The sequence below is a fragment of the Homo sapiens genome, chromosome 13 (genome assembly GCF_000001405.40).
Source record: "Homo sapiens chromosome 13, GRCh38.p14 Primary Assembly".
In the NCBI taxonomy this organism is placed as follows: domain Eukaryota; kingdom Metazoa; phylum Chordata; class Mammalia; order Primates; family Hominidae; genus Homo; species Homo sapiens.
Genome location: NC_000013.11, coordinates 32870438 through 32893701, shown reverse-complemented (window position 1 = coordinate 32893701; position 23264 = coordinate 32870438). Strand labels below are relative to the sequence as shown.

At 41.9% G+C, this 23264-nt stretch overlaps 1 long non-coding RNA gene across 1 annotated transcript in view; it reads left to right on the top strand.

Annotated features, from left to right (window-relative positions):
- Positions 1–23264, top strand: part of LINC00423 (long intergenic non-protein coding RNA 423) — a 102463-nt gene that overhangs the window by 17951 nt on the left and 61248 nt on the right. Inside the window, exon 4 of the long non-coding RNA NR_047020.1 lies at positions 16205–16271. This is a non-coding gene — a long non-coding RNA (long intergenic non-protein coding RNA 423). The remainder of the gene's footprint in view (positions 1–16204; positions 16272–23264) is intronic.

Below are 23264 nucleotides of genomic sequence, written 5' to 3'. Positions count from 1 at the left end.
GAGAAAACAGCCAGTCAAGAAGTGAGAGAAGGGAAGGCTGAAGGAGACATTTCTGCAGAATAAGAAAAACCTGAATATGTCTCGTGCCATTTGTACACCCGACCCAGACTGTAGACTTCCATGAAATGGTCAGGATTGGGGTAGGATCTGGACATGAGAACAACACACACTTTGCCTGTGTTTGGGGCTCAGATTCACAGCCTTAGTCCTGTTGGTCTCCAGCTCAGATGAACACATTTCTGAGCTCCTGGCTTCCTCTTCCAGGATGCTCATCTAGGAGGAAGAAAAAAACTCAGCTTCGGAGAGCTGCATCTGCAGTGTCGCTGATTGGTCTCAGATCTAGGGGCTCCCATGGGTTAACCATAATGATAGCTCCATAGTTAACTCTGCTCGTGTTTCTGCCCGGCTTTCACAAGACCAACACTGCCTTACTTCCGCATCTCATATCTGTATTTACGGGGTTGTAATAAATGCAATTTTTCCAGTCATGGCAACAAAATGTTCCTTAATATTCTCAAATATTCCTTTTTAAATATCTCCTCTTCTGGATCCTTTGGTTCTTTAAAACTTTTGAAGTCCCTGGAGCAGGTGTGTTGTCTCTGGAGACACTGGAGGCAGGGGGGAAACTTCTGAAGGAGAACTGCCCTGAGTTAGGGGTTATGTGCTCTGTCTTTAAGTTCCTTGGCTGACAAACCTCCTGTCTTTGAGGAAATGCTTCAGTCAGTTTTCTCCAAACAGCCTAGAATTAGTCATTTCTTCCCATTTAAGATGATATACTATTAAAGCAATCTCCTAAGTGATTACTGAAATTATTCAGATAGAACCACTGTGATAACACATTATAGGCATGTTACTTAGCAACCAAAGAATATAGGCACTCTTAAAAATTAAGACGGAAAAAGTGAGGAGACATACTTCATTCAAAACCAGTTTTACAATGATCCATAAAAGCCACCAGAAAATCACTGTAATGAATAAGGTAATGGCAACAAGATTAACTTTAATTACGTATTTAGACATCGTGCCCAAGCTCTTCAACAAGCGTCAGTAGGAAGATGAGCAATGTCCCGTCTTTCGCAGCAGAACTGCCCATGAGTGGCCAGAGCCACAGTTCCGTGAGGTGCGGCCAGGGCGGAGTTTCCAATCGCCCCCTGGCCTTCTCAGCATCCTCATCTCAGTCTATACCTGACTCTTCCCACTGTCACCTCTACCACCACCCTCTACCACCATGGGTGGGGCTGCCTCGCTGGATCTCACTCAGCCCAGGTACTGTGGAGTGAGTCTGTGACTACCATCACACCCCAGAGTAGCCAGGGAGCTCCTTGGGTCATAGGCCAACAATGTAGGCATTATCTCGGACAGCTGCTTTACTAGTGGTGCCCTGGTTCAAAAGGGAAAATAAGAATACAGCGTGAGGCCTGCGTAATACAGCCAACAGGCAGACAACTCAAAGCTCATGCCTCGCTGGTAGGAAGCTAGGAATGTCAAGCATTCAGGGTTGTGTGTGTGTGTGTGTCTGTGTTTGTGTGAATATAATGGATTAAAAACCTACTCTGTGCTAGACATTATAATACCAAATGCATTTTACTCTAATCCTTTCAATAGCCTAGCAAAACAAACAATTTTACACCTGTTAAAATTTTCTTTTCTTTTGAATAATTGTAGATTCACAAGATTACAGAGAAACGTACAGGGAAGCTCTGCCCACAATTCCCCTGCTCCCAATGCTGAAATCTTACACAACTGTAGCACAATAGCGCAGGCAAGAAATTAACATTGGTATGATCCATAAACCTTATGTAGATTTCACTGGTTATGTACACACTGGCCACACAGAAATCCAAAATCCCAGTGTGGGGCACCTGTTAGAGTAGGGCCTAATGAAAGTCCGTGTTGGAAACAGCTGTGGCCCAAGTCCATGTAATTGTAGGGCCAGTGGGGCTGTGGACCTATGTGGTAGCTCCATCCCCAAATCCAGATGTATTGTACAGCAGAAATAGGTATAACAGAGTAACTAGCAAAATCTCTACACTCATTTCCTAACCTGTTGAGTGAAGGCTAAATTATGGTAGGAAGAATCAAGTGGAAACCCCAGCAACTATCCTCCTCTCCCCAGTGCTCACTCTCAGCCAAGGTAGAAAAGCAAAGGCAAAACACATATTTGGAGGGATTGAGAGATTAGTGCCACCATCAAAGCCCCAAGAAACAAAGTGATGGTGATTCCCATCACATCCCTAATTTATCACACTTTTGCCTAAAACAAAGGTCAGTTGGGTTATGAAGAATGACCACAGATCATCAGAAATAAAATCCGATGATGATAATGACAATCAAAGCTGCAGTTTCATTTGTAGCATCTTTATTGCCAGGGCCAACATTTACTATTACCTGACCCCTGACCCTCAGGACTAAGTCAGCTTTATCTACATAGCTTGGAGGGATTGTGATGAACTTGATATCTCACAGAGCATCATACTGGTCCATTATATTGACGACATTATGCTAATTGGTCTTATGATCAGATCATATTAAGGATCCTAGATGCCTAAGGAGACATGTGCATGCCAAAGGCCAGGAGATAATTCCCTGTGGAACTTCACATGGGCCTGTAATATTGAAGTTTCTAGGGGTCCAGAGGAGTGCAGTGTGGCGGGACTTCCCTCTAAAATAAAAGCCAAGTTGCTGCACTTTGCACCAACTACCACAAAGAAGGCATGATGCTTGGTGGCCCTCTTTTGTTTGGGGAGGCAATATATGGCAAGTATGAGTATATGCAATTACAGTTCATTTGCCAGGAAAACCATAAGGCTGACAGTTTAGAGCTTAGCAGAAATCAAAAAAGGATTCTTCAGCAGGTTGATGCTCTGGTGCAAGCTGCCCTGCCACTTAAACCTTATTACCAACAGACCCAATGGAAAGTGTCTGTGGAGCTCCACTGGGGTAGCTGGCAAGCCCCAAATGCTCTCCTCTGCTGACAACTATTCTCCATCATAAAAGCAGCTGATGTCTGGCTGCTGGGCCCTGGTAGAGGCTTTATGCTTCACCAGGGTATACCAACTTGACTGTGCAACCCAACTGTCCATCATAAGTTAAATTCACCAAACCACCAAGTCAGACATGTACAGCAACTTTCCATTACAAATTGGAAGTGGTATATAGGAGACCAAGCCCAAGCAGGTCCAGAAAGCATGCACGAACTGCACCAACAGCTGCCCCTCACTGCCATGACTCCAGCAGCCACTGCTCCACCACCTCACCCTTATCCATACCTGTGACCTCAGGGCGAGTCCCCTATGTCCAGTTAGCAGGAAAAGATAAAGCACAGGCCTCGTCTACAAATGAATCCTCATGGTGTGCAGGCATGAGCCAGATGTGGATGCCTTTAGCACTACACTTTTAAAGATGGCCCTGAAAGGCAGTGATGAAGGCAAATTATCCTGGTGGGCAGAACTTCAAGTGGTACATCTAGTCTTCTACTTCATGCGGAAGGAGAAGTGGCCTGAGATACAAATCTGTAATGACTCATAGGCAACAGCTAATGGCTTGGCTGCTTGCTCACAGACTTGGAAAGAATTGAAAAATTAGTGACAAGGAAGTCTAGGATAGAGACACATAGTTGGCTCTTTTAGAATGAGCGTGTAACACAAAGATGTTTATGGCTCATGTATATGTCGGCCAAAGACACTCCTGACAGAGGAGTGTCCTAGTAGCCAGGTGGAAAAGAGAGCCCATTCAAAGCCTGTCAGTCAGCCACTCCAGGGCCTGCTCCATGGAGGCTGTGCATGCTCAACAGCACGATCTTCCTTCACCACGTCTGATCTGGCCACCACGACTCCAGGGTACCCAACGCCCCAAACTCAGAGGCTAACGCTGAGTCCCCAGTATGGCACGATCCCCTGGGAAAAACAGTCAGTGCCTTGGGGAAAGGATAACATTTTGTCTTCACATGAAGAGATCCATTAAAAATATGAATTTGCCTCCCTCCTCAGCACTTCCACCGACACCTATTCTTAGATGTAAAGAATGTTTTGTCAGCCAGGCATATGCCGGTAATCCCAGCTACTTGGGAGGCTGAGGCATTAGAATCGCTTGAACCAGGGAGCTGAAGGTTGCACTGAGCCAAGATGGCACCACTGCACTCCAGCATGGGCAACAGAGCAATACTCCATCTCAAAAAAGAAAAAAAAAAAGAGGAATACATTGTCCATTTTTAAATGCGTAAATATTTCAGCCCTAGTATTTTTTAAAGACTTGTTATTTGCCTCTATTTTTCAACAACTATTTCTACAAGATAAAACTCATTAAATACATTGTCTCTATGATTATTTTAAGGTTTCACCAAAGGTAGGGACTGCAAATCAAAGACCTTCTTTCAATACAGAATATAGACTTACAATTAAAGTAAAAACTTCATCAAAAAGTTCTTCCTGCAATTCGATATATTCCAAGGTGCAATTATAGTAACTCAAAATCAAATTTTAAATATAGTTTGAATTCTCATTGTTTAATTTCTTGTGTTTTTCTCTTGCCTTTTATAGAGGTGAATTCTAATGCCTTCCCAGGCAAGCTTTTCTCTCAATAATTACAATTCATCAAAAACTTCAAAAGCTGAAGATTTTGGTGTGTCATCCTTTGAGTACAATAATTAAAAACTTCCAGCTGATTTTAAACAAACTATAACCCAAATTTATCAGAAGCATAAATAGAAAATTCAATGCCCTTGTAGAACACAAAGGTTGGTTTACAAAGTCATTCTTCAAAGGCTCAAGCATAACTGAACTCCAGCTCATAGTTGGCAGTGAAGAGAGAAAGCATCATCTTTTTAAAAAAAAGTTACAAAAGAAAATGTTGTAGCTCAAATACTGCAACTGTGATAAAGTGTATATATTTGTAAATTTTGACAACAACAGCTTCTGTTTTGGTTAGTAAAATGTTTTAGCTTATTTGAATAAAATTATAATCATGTGTATAACAATTATTCACAGATTTATGCCTCATAGGCTCTTATTTTAGTAAAAACATTGCTTTGACCACAATAGTTGGTCCTATCAAAATTTGTATTTGTCATTATCACCATAAATATAACTAATTTTATAACTATAAATATCTCCAATATCAAACTTTATTTACAATAACTTTATTACAATAATGTTCCCTTCAAAGAGCGAACTTCCAAAAGCTTTATTTTGATTCCATGAAGCAGATGAAAAACACAAACATTATTGGAATTAACTAACTTCAATTTGAAGGCTCTAAGGACATTGATCTGAATCCATCTTCATTTACCTGTTTACAAAGTTCTGCTAATGTCATGAAAATATAAATAGCTATCATTTCACTTTCTATAAATGAATGAGAAAATTTGGAATTTCAAATGAGGAAGATTAGTTTAGAAGACTAGTTATTTGATCTAAATGAAAAATCATGATTAACCAAGTATGTGTAAAAGCACCTTCTGCAACTGCAGGTGCTAAATTGTCATCTTTAGGCACAGTCTTCTTGAAATAATTACCAATTTTTGAAGCAGATGATGAAGCTTCTTCATGAGATTTTTGTCTTCTGCTTTTTATGTGGTCAGTGAGGCAGAATAGGGTCTGGAGACAGGCAGCACTTCAGCTTTTGATTGGTCACCAGCCCAGCCTTTATTTGCACAGGGGGTAACTTCACTTCAGCCTCCAATTGGTCATGGGCCAAGTCTTCATTTGCATAGAGTGTAACTCCACTTCAGCCTCTGATTGGTCACGGGCCAAGCCTTCACTTCAGCCTCCAACTGGCGGCAGGCCAAGTCTTCATTTAAACAGGGAGTAACCAATAGGAAATCTCTAAAGGGTACTTAAATCCCAGAAAATTTGCAACTAGGGCTCTTGAGCTTCTTGCTCCAGCCAGCTCCTGCTCTGTGGAGTGTACTTTCACTTCACTAAATCTATGCTTTTGCCTTCCATTGCTTGGTTTGTGCATTTTGTCCAATTCTTTGCTCAACACACCAAAAACCTGTACAACTCCTAGTCAAGATCTTCCACCAGTAACAGTCAGTAATATCATCATGGGCCCCCGATGGGTGGTAAATGTTGACAAACATTGGCAGCAAGTTACACATTCATCATCAACTTTTTTAAAAAGTAAAAATGTATTAAAGTTTTCGTTAAACATAGACCACCATTTTTGTAGATTTTTGCTACCAAGAGTTTACCAAAAACAAATAAATAAGCCAGGCACGGTAGCTCATGCCTGTAATCCTAGCACTTTGGGAGGCCAAAGCAGGCAGATTGCTCAAGTCCAAGAGCTAGAGACCAGCTGGACAAGATAGGGGGAGCCTGGGCAAGATAGGGAGATCCCGTCTCTGCAAAAAACTAGCCAGGCATGATGGTGTGTGCCTGTAGTCCCAGCTACTCAGGAGGCTGAGGCAGGAGGATTGCTTGAGCCTAGGAGGCAGAGGTTGCAATGAGATGTAATTGCACTGCTGCATTCCAGCCTGGGTGACAGAGAAAGACCCTATCTCAATAAATAAATAAATAGTTGTAGTCGTTTAACCATAAAATAAATGATAATGCCAGAGTATTCAGACTACTTTTCCTATTCTCCATGGCAGAATAGCACAGCCTCTACTTCTATAAACATTTCGTGTAAACCTATCTTATAATCCCACATTTCTCAATGACCACAGTGACCAGCAGCCTAGTGGCCATAGCACAGGCCTCTGTCCAACTGTGTGGTAAACCAAGTGTCTGATGAGGGCAGTAACATTGAATCTATCTTCCACCACCATCTGAAATTGGATGGAGTTAGCCATCTCCAGCTAGTTGCATCTGAGCACACCTTGTTTTATCAACAAACACCCTGCACGGTCCTTGAAAGAGAACATTCCATCTAGAAGTGGGTCATTGCTGGTTGCCTTTCACATTAACCACATGCTAAAGAATTCTGCTCACTGCAGGTGTGTATCCCACACTTCTAGATGAGAGTATGGTGGAAGCTGGAAATACAAAGTGGAAATCATCTTGGTTGATGTTAGTGCAATTATTAATAATAATAGTTTGTTTAAAAATCAAAAATCTAGAACAAATGATTACACTGAGCAGGACACCAGCAAAATAGTCATAAACTGGGACAGATCCATGAAAACTGCTATTGTCACCCTATCAATGGGGGAATTTATACTGGAAAGACTGACTGTCACCCTTAATCAACACTAGCAACACTAAAGATGGAACAGGCATACGTCATGTGCCTCCTGTGTGCTGTAATATGAAATGTGAAGTACCACCTATGAAGTTTTGCTGTTAAAAATTAAAAAAAAAAATCTGAATCAAATCAACTTCCCTGGCACTTCCAGGAATTGTGATGGACAACTTAAATGACACCGCAAGAAAGCAAACAAACAATTCTAGAATATGGGCATTCTGTGGGAAAACTATCTTGGTTTCTTCAACAAGTAACTGGAATTAAAAAAAACATATGCAGCAGGAGAAACAGGGAAACAGGGAAACTGCTCTTGGGTAAAAGAGACAGTAGATCCAATTACCAAATATAATAAGAGGATCTTATTTAGATCCCAGTTTAAATAACCGACACTAAAAAGCCATTTTGAGGCAATCAAGATGTCAGAAGGTACCAGGAATTATTGTTACTTTTGATGCAATCGTTGTGTTATTTTTTAAAATGTTCTGTTTTCATGAATTTCTGCTGAATTATACGGTGATGATATAACGTGCTTTCTGAGATTTGCTCTAAAATACCTCAGCAGAGAACACATGATGGACAAATGAAGCAAGTGTAGCACAATCATGCTAAGTCTAGAAACTGGGTATTGGATAGATGGAAACTTATTATACTATTAATATGCATAGAGCATGAATATTACTTTATGCATAATGTAACAATTGATATCATTGATTACATTTATGATTATTATATTCATGTAACAACTAATATAATATAATTAATATTAAAATGTAATATTAGGCCTTATTATACTATTCTTTCCACTTTTATGCATATTTTATATTTTGTCTTTGAAATTAAAAGTTTAAATGTTGAATAAGGTAGGGCAAAGAATGTTTTAAGCTCTCCCTCTATTTTTCAATCAATCCATTAGTCAATGCTGCTTCAGTTAATCAAAGAGCCAGGATTCTTTCAAGACAGCTAGAAGAGATTTTGAATGCTATCACTACAAAGAAATGATAGTGTTTAAAGTGTGCATATGGTAATTACCCTGATTTGATGTATACAACTACACATGCATTGAAACATCACACTGTACCCCATAAATATGTTATTATTGAGTCAATTATAAATTTTTTAATTAATTTTTTTCAATAATAGCAAAGATTTTACCAATTAGTTAGACTGTAATGTTTCTATTTTATCACCTGCTGAAAGCAATGGAAACCACTTTTCCTTCATTTTCTTCTTGTTACAATTACAGTTAGAATGTGTTGTTTGCTATCCATTTTCATTCAGGTCATTCTGGGTTTTAGCTGGTGGGCATTCATATTAGCTTCTATCACCCAACTTGGCCTTATAAAACCCAGCTAAGATGTTGGAAATGAACTGAACTTCCTGGGCCATCCCACGATGTTTTACCTGCCCCATCAATCTCTTTGTTGTGGGTTCTTAGGGTCTGATTGCCTTTATTTAATTTATTAAAGGCTTCCTTCCATCGACAGCTCTTCCCTCTGACGTCTCTGGCCATGGGCTCCCATTCTGTATTCTGTGAAAGATGGTTTCCTGACAGCTAATGTCCTTGACCAACATGTCCAGCTTTCTTCTCTCTGCCATGTGTCACGTCTCTTGGTCTGACAAACGTCACTTGCCTGCTACCAGATCTGTTTCTTTGGAGCCCACCCATTCTACTTGTCAGTCCTAGCCCATTCCATCTTGGTCATATAGGAAAGACGATATTTGTCTGGGTGTTTTTTTGTTTGTTGGTTGGTTTGGATTTTTTTTGAGACAGAGTCTCACTTTGTCACCCAGGCTGGAGTGCAATCTCGACTGCAACCTCCACCTCCCGGATTCAAGGAATTTTCATGTCTCAGCCTCCTGAGCAGCTGGAATTACAGGTGCCCACCACCACGCCTGGCAATTTTTGTATTTTTAATAGAGACGGGGTTTTGCCATGTTGGCCAGGCTGGTCTTTAACTCGTGACCACAAATGATCCGCCTCCTTGGTTTCCCAAAGTGCTGGGATTACAGGCGTGAGCCACTGTGCTGGGCCATTGTCTAGATGTTTCTAAATCTGCAAGGTTTTATTATTTTCCATACTCTGTGCATTTGCATAAAATCATCAGAGGCCAGAAATATTGTTTCCAATCATTTGGCTTTTTTTTTCTTTTTTTTTTTTCTGGAAGCACATGTAACTCCTCTCTTTTTAGTCTTCTAAATCACCTAGCAGTCTTCCTGATACATAGCAGATACTGCATAAATATTTTTGCAGCGAAAATATTATATATGCCCACCATTCTGTAGCATCCAGGATTAGAAATATTTTCTATTTCTCCCCAGTAAGTGCTTATTTAAAGCTATTAGAATCCAGCTGGGCAAATCTCCCACCAAATACAGTCTTTCAGGTCTATTGAGATGCATTTTATTCTTCAGCAGGCTCTTGCATACCCCCACCTCATCTCCAGTATTAAGAGCCAAAGTTCAGAAAACTACCACTAGCTGTGACTGTAATCAAGTTACTTAACTTCTCTGTGCCTTTGTTGAGGAACTGTAAAAGAATAATCATGTCTACCTCATAGAAAATCAAACAAGCTGGTGAATACAAAGCACTTAAAACAGTGCCTGACAAATAGTAAGTATCCAGCAGATGTTAGCACATATTATTATTACTGGAATCACTAAGCTGTTACTGCCTTGACACTGGTTGTTTTCATCTTTGACTGACATTGAATTTTTTTTAATAGCAAAGAGGTGTTAAGGTAATGAGGACAAAAAATCCAAATCCTGAATACGAAAGCAACATTAGCAGAATTCCGGGACATGTGCCAACAGACCAGCAGGCAGCACCAGCATTTTATCCCTATTAAAAGACTTGTTCATCTACAAAGTGATGCCTGCAAGCAGCCTCTGGAAGCAGCTGTGGGTTAGTCCTCTGAATTTAAAGGTTATTTGCTGACTGGGACATCCTGCCCACTCAATAGTTAGGGGAAGGAATAAAGAGAAGGCCTATAAGACCAGAAGAAAGCACCTTTAACTTGTCTAAAATGAAAAATTAAATCACCCCTTTCCCTGAATGTTATTTTCCAAGATAGGAAGGATGGGCTGAAGATGTTGTTATGCCAAAAACCCAGTGCCAAGAATGAAAAGTTTTGATATGCACATTAAGAAAAATGTGTAGGAAGGTGAGCCTTCCAGAAATGTGGCTAAAAATACTCAGGACCAGACTCAGAACTGAGACAGGACTTAGAGGTCATCTCATTTATTTCCATTACTTTACGGGTGAGGAAACGGTCCCAGTGAGATTAGTACTGTACCAAACCCAGATCTCCCCTTTTCCCATTTTAAGCAACCCCTGATGGTTCAGTTAGACCAAAGGTACACTATTCAAATCATAGTAGAAGAGGCAGATACTCTATTAAAGACCTAATGGACAAAAATATCCTTTATAACTTTTGGAAGAATGAAATAGAAAAATATAAACCAACATATGGAATATAATAAAGAAAACATGGAAAGACTCCTCCCAAACATTACCCAGTATGAATGCTGCCAGAGAAAATCATTCCTAGAATTTTCATATGTATCCCAAATCATATAATTTCCAGCAAGTCCTTCTCTTCACTTCTCCAGGATAAACTTAGTGGACTCCAACTTACTGTCATCATTTCCAGTGTTCTTTATTGCTTCCAAAATCCTAGCCAGAGGTTTTATTCACTGTGGATGCCCTCTACCAAGTCTGAGAGCTAAGAAGGGCATTGAGAAGAGGTGTGGAGCAGAAGATTTAAAGATATAGTCATTATATATAAGCTATTTATTTCAAAGGGGCTTAAACATTTGATGGATAGGTGGATGGATGGGTGGGTGGGTCAGTGTGTTTCAAGTTTTTTGAGAGGTCCTATAGCATCCCGGTTAAGAGTACAGTTTCTCAAGTCAGAATGCCTGATCTTAAATCCCAGCTCCATAATTTTTTGGTTATGTGATTTTGGGTGGGGTACTTAATCTCTACATATCTCAGTTTCTTTTTTTTTTTTTTTTTTTTTTTTTTTTTGAGACGGAGTCTCACTCTGTCACCAGGCTGGAGTTCAGTGGCGCAATCTCAGCTCACTGCAACCTCTGCCTCCTGGGTTCAAGCGATCCTCATGCCTCAGCCTCCCAAGTAGCTGGAATTACAGGCACACACCACCACACTCAGCTAATTTTTGTATTTTTAGCAGAGACAGGGTTTCACCATGTTGGCCAGGATGGTCTTGAACTCCTGACCTCATGATCTGCCCGCCTTAGCCTCCCAAAGTGCTGGGATTACAGGCGTGAGCCACCGTGCCCAGCCTATCTCAGTTTCTTCATCTGTAAAATAGGTGTGATGGGGAACTTAACTCAAACTGTTTTGAAGATTAAATGTGTTAATGCACATACAGCCCACAGAAAGTTCTCTGGCATACAGCAAAGATGTCATTAAACCTTCGCTACTACTATCCAGTGGTCACTCCTCTGGCAAACACAGTTATCTGGAAAAGTGCCAAAGTAAACCTTTCAACAAAACCTGGGCACCACGTCTTGGCTGCTTAAGTCATAGACAAGCTTCATCTTGTTTTACAATAAATTCTAACAAGTATATCTGCTCTCCCTGTATAGAAAATTAAAGTAACAGGTAATTGTCTTCCTCCAGATGCCAGCCCCAGAAGCAGCTCCATAATTACTCATGCAAACTATTTTTGTGGAACACCTGCTGTCTCCATAGCACAGTGAGAAGACCAGATATTTTCCGTACTCCAGGAGGTCACAATCTGGTAGAGAAAACAAGTTATACACAAATGCGTAGGTGACACCACAAGAGTTAAAGAAGCAAGTGCAAGAGCAGATTGGGTGTGTTCCATGTTAACCAAGCAACACAGAGGAACAAGTGTTGCTTCTTGGTGTAGGGAGGCCCATGGGCCATGGTAGACAGGAAGCTAGAGCTGCCAATATACAGACAGGAGGAACCTCCACTCACACTCCAAGATGAATACCACTAGGCTGCCAAAAAATTAAAATGATGATTTTTGGAGGAAGACATGCATACACAAACCTGTGTGTGGAAACCAGACATAAACCCACAGACCATCAGTCAGTATCACAGACAAGGCTGCATGAGTCACCATAGGGTTCCTTTATGGCTGTGTCTCCTTAACTGGGGGCACTGGGCCTCCAAGAGCACCAGGATTTCTTCCAACTTTCCAAGCTGTGAGGCCCCACCTCTGCAACTGTCAGCTTCCCCTGCCCTGCCGTGGCTCTTCCTAAGACTGCAGAAGCCTATCATGAATGCACATTTCCTAAACTGTAGACTCATTCCTTTAATAACTCTTAATGTCAATTTAGCCAGCACAGCCTGTGCAGCAATTTATGACTGAGTAGGAGGCAGAACAAAGTTGGGCTAAGCAGGATGAGTAAGCTTTCCCAAGCCTCCCTTCTATTAGCTGGGTTGGCAAGGGACTTGGTGAAGGCTTTAAAACTCGTATTGAAAATGACTGCTTTTTCCAGGCTGTCCGCGCATGGTTCAGCCATTTTGTAATGATTAGCAGGTCTGTCTCACCTGCAAAAAGTTTGCAATGGTCACTTTCCTACTGGGGTGGTTGGCAAGAGCTGCCCAGAGCTGGTCCCCATGGGGACACTCATGGAAGTGGCCCTGCCATCCTCAAAATCCCAGCGTCTTTTCTAAGAGGCATCAGAAAACAGTCTTGCACTTAGAGTCAGAAAGACCATTGGTCATCAGCCTGGACCCAGGGTCTCTGACATGAGGCTATGCTTAAAAGCTGACTCTTAGTTGCCTGAATATGCTGGAGAAGGGCCCAGGCCTATGGCTCTGGGTTGGTCAGCATCCATGGTCTAGTCTGTCCAGGAAAGCTACAGGACTTTCCACCTCCCTCCCTCACTGCAGGGGAAATGGTCCATTTTTAAGACATTTACCTGAGATGATCCCTTGAACATACTCCTGGTCTCTTAAAACTTGGCCCGAAAATCACTGAAAAAAATTATAGAAATGAAGGAAATCTGTGTGGAGTGGAGGGGAAGCTGGAAGCGAAGCACTGCCATTTCTAAGTAATTTGGGTTGGAAAGAGAGGAAGACATTGGAGGACACTGTTTCTGGAAAACCACTCAAATGGGCCATTTGGGTATGTAAATATCAAGCCAGGACCATAATTGGAGAAGAGGCTTTTGAGACACAGCTGTGGTTCTTGAGACTGAAATGCTCTTTGTGCTCACAAAAAAATATTATCTGCATGTAAAGTACACTTTCTACTCTATACATTGAGTTGCCTTTGGGGAAATTTTACTTCATTTTATATTTTAAGAATGGTTTGAGTCATTTTTATGCAGGAAAATTGCTGTTTGTTCTTGGGTTGATATGCATGCTTTTGTTTAATCGGTGGCTGTCAGAGAATTGGGGATGAGGCTCAGAAGCTAAAGGAGATGCTCTTGAGAAATGAAATGAAAACTCAAACACCAACCATGTAGCTTCAGAAGTCTGGAAGGGGCCACGCTCTGCGGTTTTGGTTGGACTATTCCTGCACCCCAGGAATGGCAGCTCTGAGAGCTTCAGAGACAGGCTTCTGGTGAGGACATGGGTATTCTCACCAGGGACATCATCACGATGGCTGACAGGGACACTCGACAGCTTCCTGGACTGTGTCATGAACCAAAGGAGCCAGAGCCTTGAGAGACAATCCCTTTGGCAAAGTCATTGGCATTATCACCAAGAACATATTGGCCAATTCCAGCGCTGTGGATGTTGACTAGAACGGGAGCCAGAAAGGGAGAGAAAGAACCCAAATTCTGGAATGCCAACTTGGAATCAATCACTCAGAAATAATTGGTATCATCTTTGAGGGATGTTAAGAACTTGTGGGCAAGATGATGGCCTAAGGTTATCATTTGTATTCCCAACCTGGTGAAACTTATGCCAGCTCTGTTGTCTTTGAAAAGGCATATCTATTCCCAGTTCTACTACTAATTGCATATGGCTTTTGTTAAACTGCCTTAGATATTTGAGTTCTGTTTTTCAGTTAGCCCCGGGTGATATTTTTCCACTTGTTCTGGAGCCTGAAGGTAACAGGGACTAGATTGCCTTCAGTGAAGGAAAAGGAACTGTAGGGGTCTATTGCCAGGAAACATAATTCAAAAGATGACGTATGATAAAACAGAATGGGACATATGAGTAAGAAACCCATGCAAATGGAGAATAAAGGTAGAAAGATTGTAGGAAACTATCTCATCTGGATTCTCCCAGACACAGACTCTGAGACAAGGATTTGAGCACAAGTAGTTTATTTGGAAGTCACAAGCAAAAATTGCAGAGAAGTAGAAAAGTGATACAGACAGGAAAAAGTGGCAAATAAAGTGTGCATATTAAACCAGCTGAAACAATGGGCAGCTACCGAGTAATCCCACAGGAAAACTCTAAGAAACTGCAAATTACATGCCTCAAAGCTATCCTACTTGACTGATGAAGGACCTGGGGTATTTATACATTCACTTCTGTCTGCCTTTGGGCTGAGGGCTGATCCCAGAGAGCTGTTAATTCCCCAGTATTTCCAGCTTGCTGGGCAAGCAGGCAGAGCAGCTTTCTGCACTTGTAGGAAAAGTTCTCTAGCGCAGAGAAGTAGACACTGGGAGTTGAAAGTCATCCAGAATGCAATGAAATGCTAGGATTCCAGATAGGTGAGCAGGGCACTAAGAGAGGCTGTCACAGTCCAGCCCCTGTACCACTCAGATCCACTTGTGCCGCTTTTTTTTAAGGCAAGGTCACAGGGTCCTACTTCAACCATCGGGTTCCCAGACCTGTGTATTCTACCTATGAGAAAAATGTATACTAGTCATTGGTTTAAAGTATTTACTCCATCTTGAAGAATGGTGTCCCATCCTTTCTGGGTATCATCTCTAAGTTGACAAGTAATCTGCACCTTTAAGAAGCCATCCCAACATTCTATCAGGCCAGCCACTTCTGAATGATGTGGAATACAGTAGCACGAGTGGAGGGCAAGGTCATGTGTCCATTGTCACATTCCTTCACTGTAAAGTGGGTCATTTAGTCTGAGGTGGTATGGTGTGGGATCCCATGATGACAAATCAAAAAGACTGAGAACCTTTGTAGAGTCATTCTAGCTGAAACACTAAAGGCAGGAAAGGAAACCCATACCTAGAGTTTGAAATCATCCCAGTAGAATGACTCAGCATGCCTTCCAGGATGGAAGAGTCCTAATGTAATCAACCTGCAACCAGATAGCTGGTTGGTCTCCTAGCAGGTGATTCCATATCAAGGAATCTAGCTACTATCATTGTTGACCGTCAGAACCATCAGCAGCCAGTCTTGGCTGCTGACAGTTCGGACGGTCAGCAATGATAGAAGCTAGATCAGCCTTGCAATTAATCCCATGTTCTTGGGCCCATGCATAGCCTCTGTCTCCACCTCCATTACTAACATGCCCACAGCCTCATTATGCAATAACTAGGGTGACCAAGGAAAGGGTCCACACTGATTTCCGCTGAATGCATCGTCGTACTCCCTTGGTTGTTCTGTGCCTCCTGTGCAGACGATGCTTCTCATTGGCATTGATGAGAACACAAAGGTCCTCACACTCCCCTAGATGTATCACACATCTCTTATTTAGACATCTTGTTTCTGAGCTTCCAATCTTGCCTATCCTAAGCCTCTGGCTGAACAGCTAAGTCATTCAATGCTGCTTATTAATCTGAGTGTTTCTTTACCTCAGACTTCTCCCTCCACATAAAATTGATTGCCAGGCATGTTATTCTAAGCTCTGCCCACTGGGAGAATTTCCCCTACCACTGTCTTTCAGAGCGATCACTGAGCAGAGCTGTAATGTAGCAACATACCAATTGTACCAACTCATTGAGCTGACCCACCCATGAACAAGGTCCAACACTTTTCCTCCTTCATCAGCTGGTCCTAGGGAAGCACCAATAAGACCATAGTGCAGACACTGGTGCAAAAGAGATAGGTGTACATAGATATGGACGATTTATTCTTATAACTTGTGTTTTTCAGAGATGCCCAGGTCCCAAATGTAATAATTCCATGGTATGATGGGTTGCTGCTGCACCTGTCTGATTTGGTAAGTCTGAAAATACCCAAGATATGAGGGAAGACTCCAGCCACTTGCTGTCACAAGGTCAGTTGTTCAGTCTATACCAAGGCCCAGTAGCATGCCAAGAACTGCTTCTCAAGTGCTGAATAGTTCTGTGGTACAGATGGCAAGGTCTTGCTCTAGAACTCTAGGATTCTGCCCTGCAAGCCTCCCAGTGATGTTTGTCAAAGACACCATAAAACATTCTGGTACACCATAGCTACATCATAGAGCATCAGTTTGCCCCAGGCAACTGGATTGCTAAAATTTCACTAATCTGAGAGGCCCCTGGATTTTTTAGATTTATTTCCTATTTTCTGATGTATGGGTGTCCTAACAGGGCATCCAAAGTATTTGCCGCCTGCTCCTCCAGATCTAAATTAACATGTCCAAGATCGAAACACCAGCAGATTTGGTGTCTGGTTAGGGTTCATTCCTCATAGACAGCACATTCTCATTGCATCCTCACCTGGTGGAAGGGGCTAGCTAGCTCTTTGTGGTCTCCTTCATAAGGGTACTCATTTCAATCATGAGGACTCTGCCCTCATGACATAATCACCTCCCAAAGGCCCCACCTCCTTATATCATCACCTTGGGGGTTAGGATTTCAATATATGGATTTGTATTGGATACAAATATTCAGACAATAGCAAAAGCATAGTCTTGAAATATTGGATACAAATATTCAGACAATAGCAAAAGCATGGGTCTGAGACATGGCAAGGAATGTATCCTGCTGTCCATTACAAGTAAATTTAAACTGCTTCAGATCCTTCCTCTTGATAGAAATTGAAAAGCACGCATTTGCCAGATTGATAGCTACATATTAAGTGACAGAGGCTGGGCTAATTTGTTCAAGTAAAGATACAATATATACACAACTATAATTTGGAGCTACCACTCGATTAAATTCACAGCAGCCGTTGTCAGGCAGATGACTTGCATGGGGATAGGGTCAAGACAACCATCCCTGCAAATCTCTGGGGCAGGGGTTGGGGCAGCAGTGGATACTAATTTTTGCCATCCCACCAAAATGAGACTTTGTTTTTGACTTATTATCTTGGCTGGAGATGTGGGAATGGGTGGGGGTCATCTCAGAGGCCTCCACTTGGCCTTCCCTATGAGTCAGAGAACCACAAGTAAAATAACCAATCTGAGGCTTCTGTCTACTAATATATCCATTTACATTATACGCCCAAGGACCAGGGAAATGACCACAGGTGGGTCAGTAGACTCTGGACGAGTTGTGACATGGGCTTGGACTCTGTCTATCAGCAGACTTTCAAATGCTTCAGATCTGATGGCCAGGGGGAGGTGGATGGGGCTATGACATACTAGATTTCCTAGTGTTGTGGGTCTGCTCTGGGGGAAAATAGCTGAGAAAAACCCTCATGTATAGGAAGCATATTTGGGCATGATCTTGGAAACAACACCTATCAGGGAATTAGATAGCAGACCTGGGCAGGGAAAGAAGTTGAACCATAAAACAATTGCAAGAGAGGCCCCAGCAGACACCACAGGGAGCTCTGAAACGCGGAGGGCCTTTCATAGATGTCACCAATTGAGGCCACATTGTCTGGCCTTCGAAACATCACCTTGACCCGTCATTAACTGTGGGCTTCACCCAGGGCAGGCGTCAGCCAGCAGCCAGCAGCAGCCAGCAACCCTAGCAGCTAGGAAAATAAGCTCTTCCGTCCCAGAGGGGGCATCTGGGTGACCAGCACAGACTCCACTATAGTGCAGCCCTTGTACTGCTTGTATTCACTTGACTTGTATAGTAAGTTTACCCCCTCTGGGAATAGCTCCTTTAGGATTCTGAATGTTAACAGGACAAACTACAGTCCCAGCTGCTGCAGGTTGTCACAGACCCCAAGTGATATTCATGATTTCCTTCCTCTACCACCCATTCTACATTTCCCTCACCCTAGACTAGTGTGTCTGCTGTTCTAGTGACTTGCCTGGTGGAGTGAACCAGAACTTCCTTCCTAAGGGGTCTGAGTCCTAGTCACCATGGCTTCTCAGGACTTGGCCTCTTGCCACTGTCCTTATCCATTTACTATCAAAATTGGGCAAAGTCTGCCAAGTCCAGGCCCCAGAGCCCTTTCTCCTCCGGACCCCACTCAAAGCTGGAAGCTTTCCACATCCTCCAATCAATGGGTCTGAGCATTATGCCCAAGTGTGGACTATGCTTTCTCCACACACCCAAAAGGCCAATCAGGCATTGTGCTTCCTTTCTACTAGTGGAAGGTACAAGAAGAAATAATCCATTCTTTATTTTGGAGGAATATCCCGGCATGCCTCAGACCACTGGACCTCTAACATTTCATTGCCCAGGTGGCCTCTGAAACCTTATTGGGTTTATCTTTTACCCTCTGGAGTGCATGTGTCTTATCAAGGCCTCCTACATACTTGCCACTTCTTGCTCATCAGTTCAATTAACGTAATTCCTCAGCATACTAGACCAATATAATGTTTTCTAGAATGTCCAGATAGTCTGGGTCCCATGGGACTATATTATGACAGAGGGCATGAGTTAGCATAAAACCTAGAGAAAGACTATAAATCCATACTGTTGTTTGTCACACATTAATGCAAACTGCTTCTGGTATTCTTTCCTGAAATGGAGAGAAGACAACACATTTGCTAGATGAATGGCCATATTCCATGAGCCAGAGGCCATGTTCATCTACCATAGTAATGATACTACATCTAGCCCAGTAGCTGTAATTAGGGCTTTAACCTAGTTGAATTGGTGGGAGCCCACTCCTGGGATCCAGTGTAGGAGACAGTCAAGTGAGCAACATGTACACATGAGGGGGTAATCACTTGCACATCCTTTAGATTTTTTTAACTAATTTCTTTATGTATTTGTTTTAGAGACAGGGTCTCACTCTGCTGCCCAGGCTGGAGTACAGTGATGTGATCATAGCTTGCTGCAGCCTTGAACTCCTGGGCTCAAGTGATCCTCTTGCCTTAGTCTCCTGAGTAGCTGGTACTACAGGTAACCTGTCACCATGCCCAGCTAATTTTTTAACTTTTTTTGTAGTTCACTATGTTGCCTAGGCTGGATTCAAACTCCTGGCCTCAAGTGATCCTCTCATCTCGGTCTCCCAATGTGCTGGGATTACAGGTGTGAGCCACGATGCCCTGACCTTAGATCTTTAAGAGTGGCACTATCTCTACCATTCAACCCCAGATACAATATGATTTTTGTTTTACTATCTTTGGGGACAGAGTGAAGATTCAGCGGTTTCCACTGGGTCTTCCCCACTATATTAGCTTTTTCTTTGAGACGGAGTTTCACTCTTGTCACCCAGTCTGGAGTGCAATGGCGCAATCTCGGCTCCCTGCAACCTCTGCCTCCCGGGTTCAAGCAATTCTCCTGCATCAACCTCCCGAGTAGCTGGCACTACAGGCACCCACCACCACGCCCGGCTAATTTTTGTATTTTTAATAGAGACGGGTTTTATCATGTTGCCCAGGCTGGTCTCGAACCCCTGACCTTAGGTGATCCACCCTCCTAAGCCTCCCAAAGTGCTGGGATTACAGGCGTGAGCCACTGCGCCTGGCCTATATTAGCTTTTATAGCATAGTTTTGGGCTCTAATGTGGGAATTATTGAAACTACCAAGTATGTGGTAGTTTACATACTACCATACTACCATATTTGAATGTGGACACACATTCAAATATGTGTCCAGGAACCAGAGAAGTGACCACCAGGAGGGAGCTTGGGTTCGATAAGAGAGCCATGAAACAAATCTGAGCCAGGTCTCCATTCACTAGCCAGCCTCCATAGGTCCCCACTCTCATAGGGTGGCCACGATGATGCTTCAGTTGCAGGTACCAATGACTCAAAACCTGTGTCCAACAGTCCTTGAAACAGCTGGTTATCCCTTTCCATGGTGTACAATTACCCAAGTAAATGGCCATAGGTCCCTGGAGGAAGGAGTGGGAGACTTATCATATATACTTGCTGTGGTGTGGCAGGGTTGTTCCTCCTGGGGACCCAGCCTCTCCTTCAGTCAATGGGCTCTAGGCCTGAAAACTGGTTCAAATGAGGAAATAGGGCAAGGGATTACGCTGTTTTATTGGGGCAGCTGCCTTCAGCCTCATGGTAATCTATCCTTGATTTCTTTTACTTGCTTCAGTTGAACAATACCCTTGTTGGCAGCCCATCTCTCTTGCCCATAGGACACCATGTCCCATTACTCATCTCTATAGCTCAGCATCACATGCCCATGAGGCGGCTTTCAACTTTGATGCTCATTAAAAACGTTGTGCCATCTGGCCTCTGTTATTCAGGGTCTTATCCGCATTACTATCAAGGAGCCCAGTTATTTAACAGAATTGCCTACCAGCAGCCTGGGTGGTGTCCCTCACCCTTGCATTACCTGTCTCTTTGGTAAACATGGTGTCCCCTGGGATTGGCTGGTGGGTTTTTCACCTTTGTGTAGCATGTTAACTCTATCCTGCCCACTTCTCTACACCTTTTGGTCTTAGACAGTGGAAGAAGTTCACTGTCTGCCACAGCAATTCTGACATTTCTACTTCATTTTGTTTGGACCATCACTTTTTCCAAGCTTCCACCACAAGCCATACTAGCACCATGTCAGGGTGCTAAGTCCTTATCCCTAGAGAATGCTAACATATCAATAAACTTTCCCTTCCGAAGTGTGTGTTCTGCCACCCTCGAACCATTCCTCAGAATCTAGTGCCACATAGACTTTCTCAGCTCCTGCCAGTAAATGTGGAGGACCCGTGGCTCTTTCAGTGAGTGCCTTTCCTCCCTAAACAGAACCAATCCTTATGCAGCCAGATTGGCTTGACGCTTGAACCCATTATTCATCTGACAGCCTGGAGAGGAGGTGGAAATAGATCCTGAGAGAAGTATACATTGTATTGCAAGGCAGAGGTCTCTTCATTATGTTTAAGCAAGGAAGGTGCTAGCCTTTATCAGGCTTCAGTGGGCTACTTCTGCAGGCCCAGAAGATTCAGGGAGATGTGGGAATTCACTATTCTCACAGGAAACATGCATGTCTTTAGAATTTCTTTTTTTTTTTCCTTTTTTTTTTTCAAGAGACAGTCTCGCTCTGTCACCCAGGCCAGAGTGCAATGGCTCAATCGGCTCAATGCAACCTCTGCCTCCCGGGTTCAAGTGATACTCCTGTGTAAGCCTCCTGAGTAGCTGAGATTACAGGCACCCACCGTCACACCCAGCTAATTTTTGTATTTTAGTAGAGATGGGGTTTCACCATGTTGGCCAGGCTGGTCTCGAACTCCTGACCTCGTGATCCACCCTCCTCGGTCTCCCAAAATGCTGGGATTACAGGCATGAGCCACCACGCCCAGCCTCTACATTTCTGATAAATTGTGTTTCTCATGGAATTTGTCCTTTTTAAGTTACCATGTTTTTTGCATAAAGAGTTTCATAACATTTCCCTTAATATTCTTTAATGTCTATAGGATCTGAGATAATATTGCCTCTTTCATTCCTCATATTTCTGAATGAATATATATTTATCATTATGCAATGTCTCTCTTCATCTCTGATGATATTTCTTACCTTCAAATCCACTCTAATTTTAATTTTATGCTTACTATTGTATGGTATATCTTTTTCCATCCCTTTACATTCAATCTTTGTGTCTTTATATTTAAAGTGCATCTTTTGTAAATAGCACATATTTGAACCTTATTTTTCATATAGTCTGACAATATCTTTCCTTAACTGAAATGACTAGCTATTTACACTTAATATAATTACTGATAGGGTTGGTTTTAAGTCCATCATATTGCTATTTGTTTCCTCTTTTGCTGTGTGGTTTTTGTTCCTCTGATCTTTCTTTCCTATTTTATCATAGGTTAACTGCCTATTTTTAGTATTTCATTTTAATTCCTCTTTTTTTAGATATACCTTTTGATTGCTCTAGAGATTATAATATTCATCCTTAATTTAGCTCAGTTTACTTAGAGTTAAAATTTTACCACTTTACATGGAAATGTAAAAATTTACAACTTACAACTAGGAAGACGGTCCCCATATACTCCCTTTCTTTGTGCTATTATTGTTATATTCTTTACTTCTACATATTTTATAAATGACAATACAATATCCTTTTTGTTTTAAACACTGAATTGTCTTTTTAAAAAATTAAGGGAAACAAATAGTCTTCATATTCACATATGTAATTTCCATTTTAGGTTTTCTTCATTCCTTCCCATAAATCCAAATTCCTCTCTGGTTGCACTTTACTTCAGTCTGAAAACCTTCCTGTAACATTTCTTATGCAGGTCTCCTGGTGATGAATTCTCTCAGCTTTTATGTGAACTGCTTTTATTTCACATCATATTTTTAAAATATTGCCATTAGGTATAAAATTCAATGCTAACGGGTTTTTTTATTTCAGTTTAACATACTTAAATTTGGTAGGCTTTTTTTAAAAAATCCTGATTGGGGTCTACTAAGCTTCTTGGATCTATAGGTTGAGTTTTTCACTAAATTTTAGAACTTTTCAGGCATTAATTCTTCAAATATTCCTCAAATATTTTTTCTTACCTATTTTCTCTCTTTTATACTCCTGGAGCCCCCATTACATGCATGTTAGATCACTCAGTATTATCTCCTGATTCACTGAGACTCTGTGTCTTCTTTTCAGTCCCTTTTCTTTATGTTCTTAAGATTAAATAATTTTTATGGATACATCTTTAAATATACCAACACTTTATTCTGCAGTCTCTAGTCAGCTATTGATCCCACACAGTTAATTTTTACTTCAGATATTTTTCTTATAATACTATAATTTATATTCAGATCTTTCTTCTGGTTTCCATTTCTCTACAAAGATTCTCCATCTGTGCAGTTATTACAACCATCTTTTCCTTTAATCTTTGAACAGAGCTATAATAGCTACTTTAAAGTCCTCCTCTGTTCATTTCAACATCTGTGTTATCTCAACAATATGTTTAAATGAACTGTTTT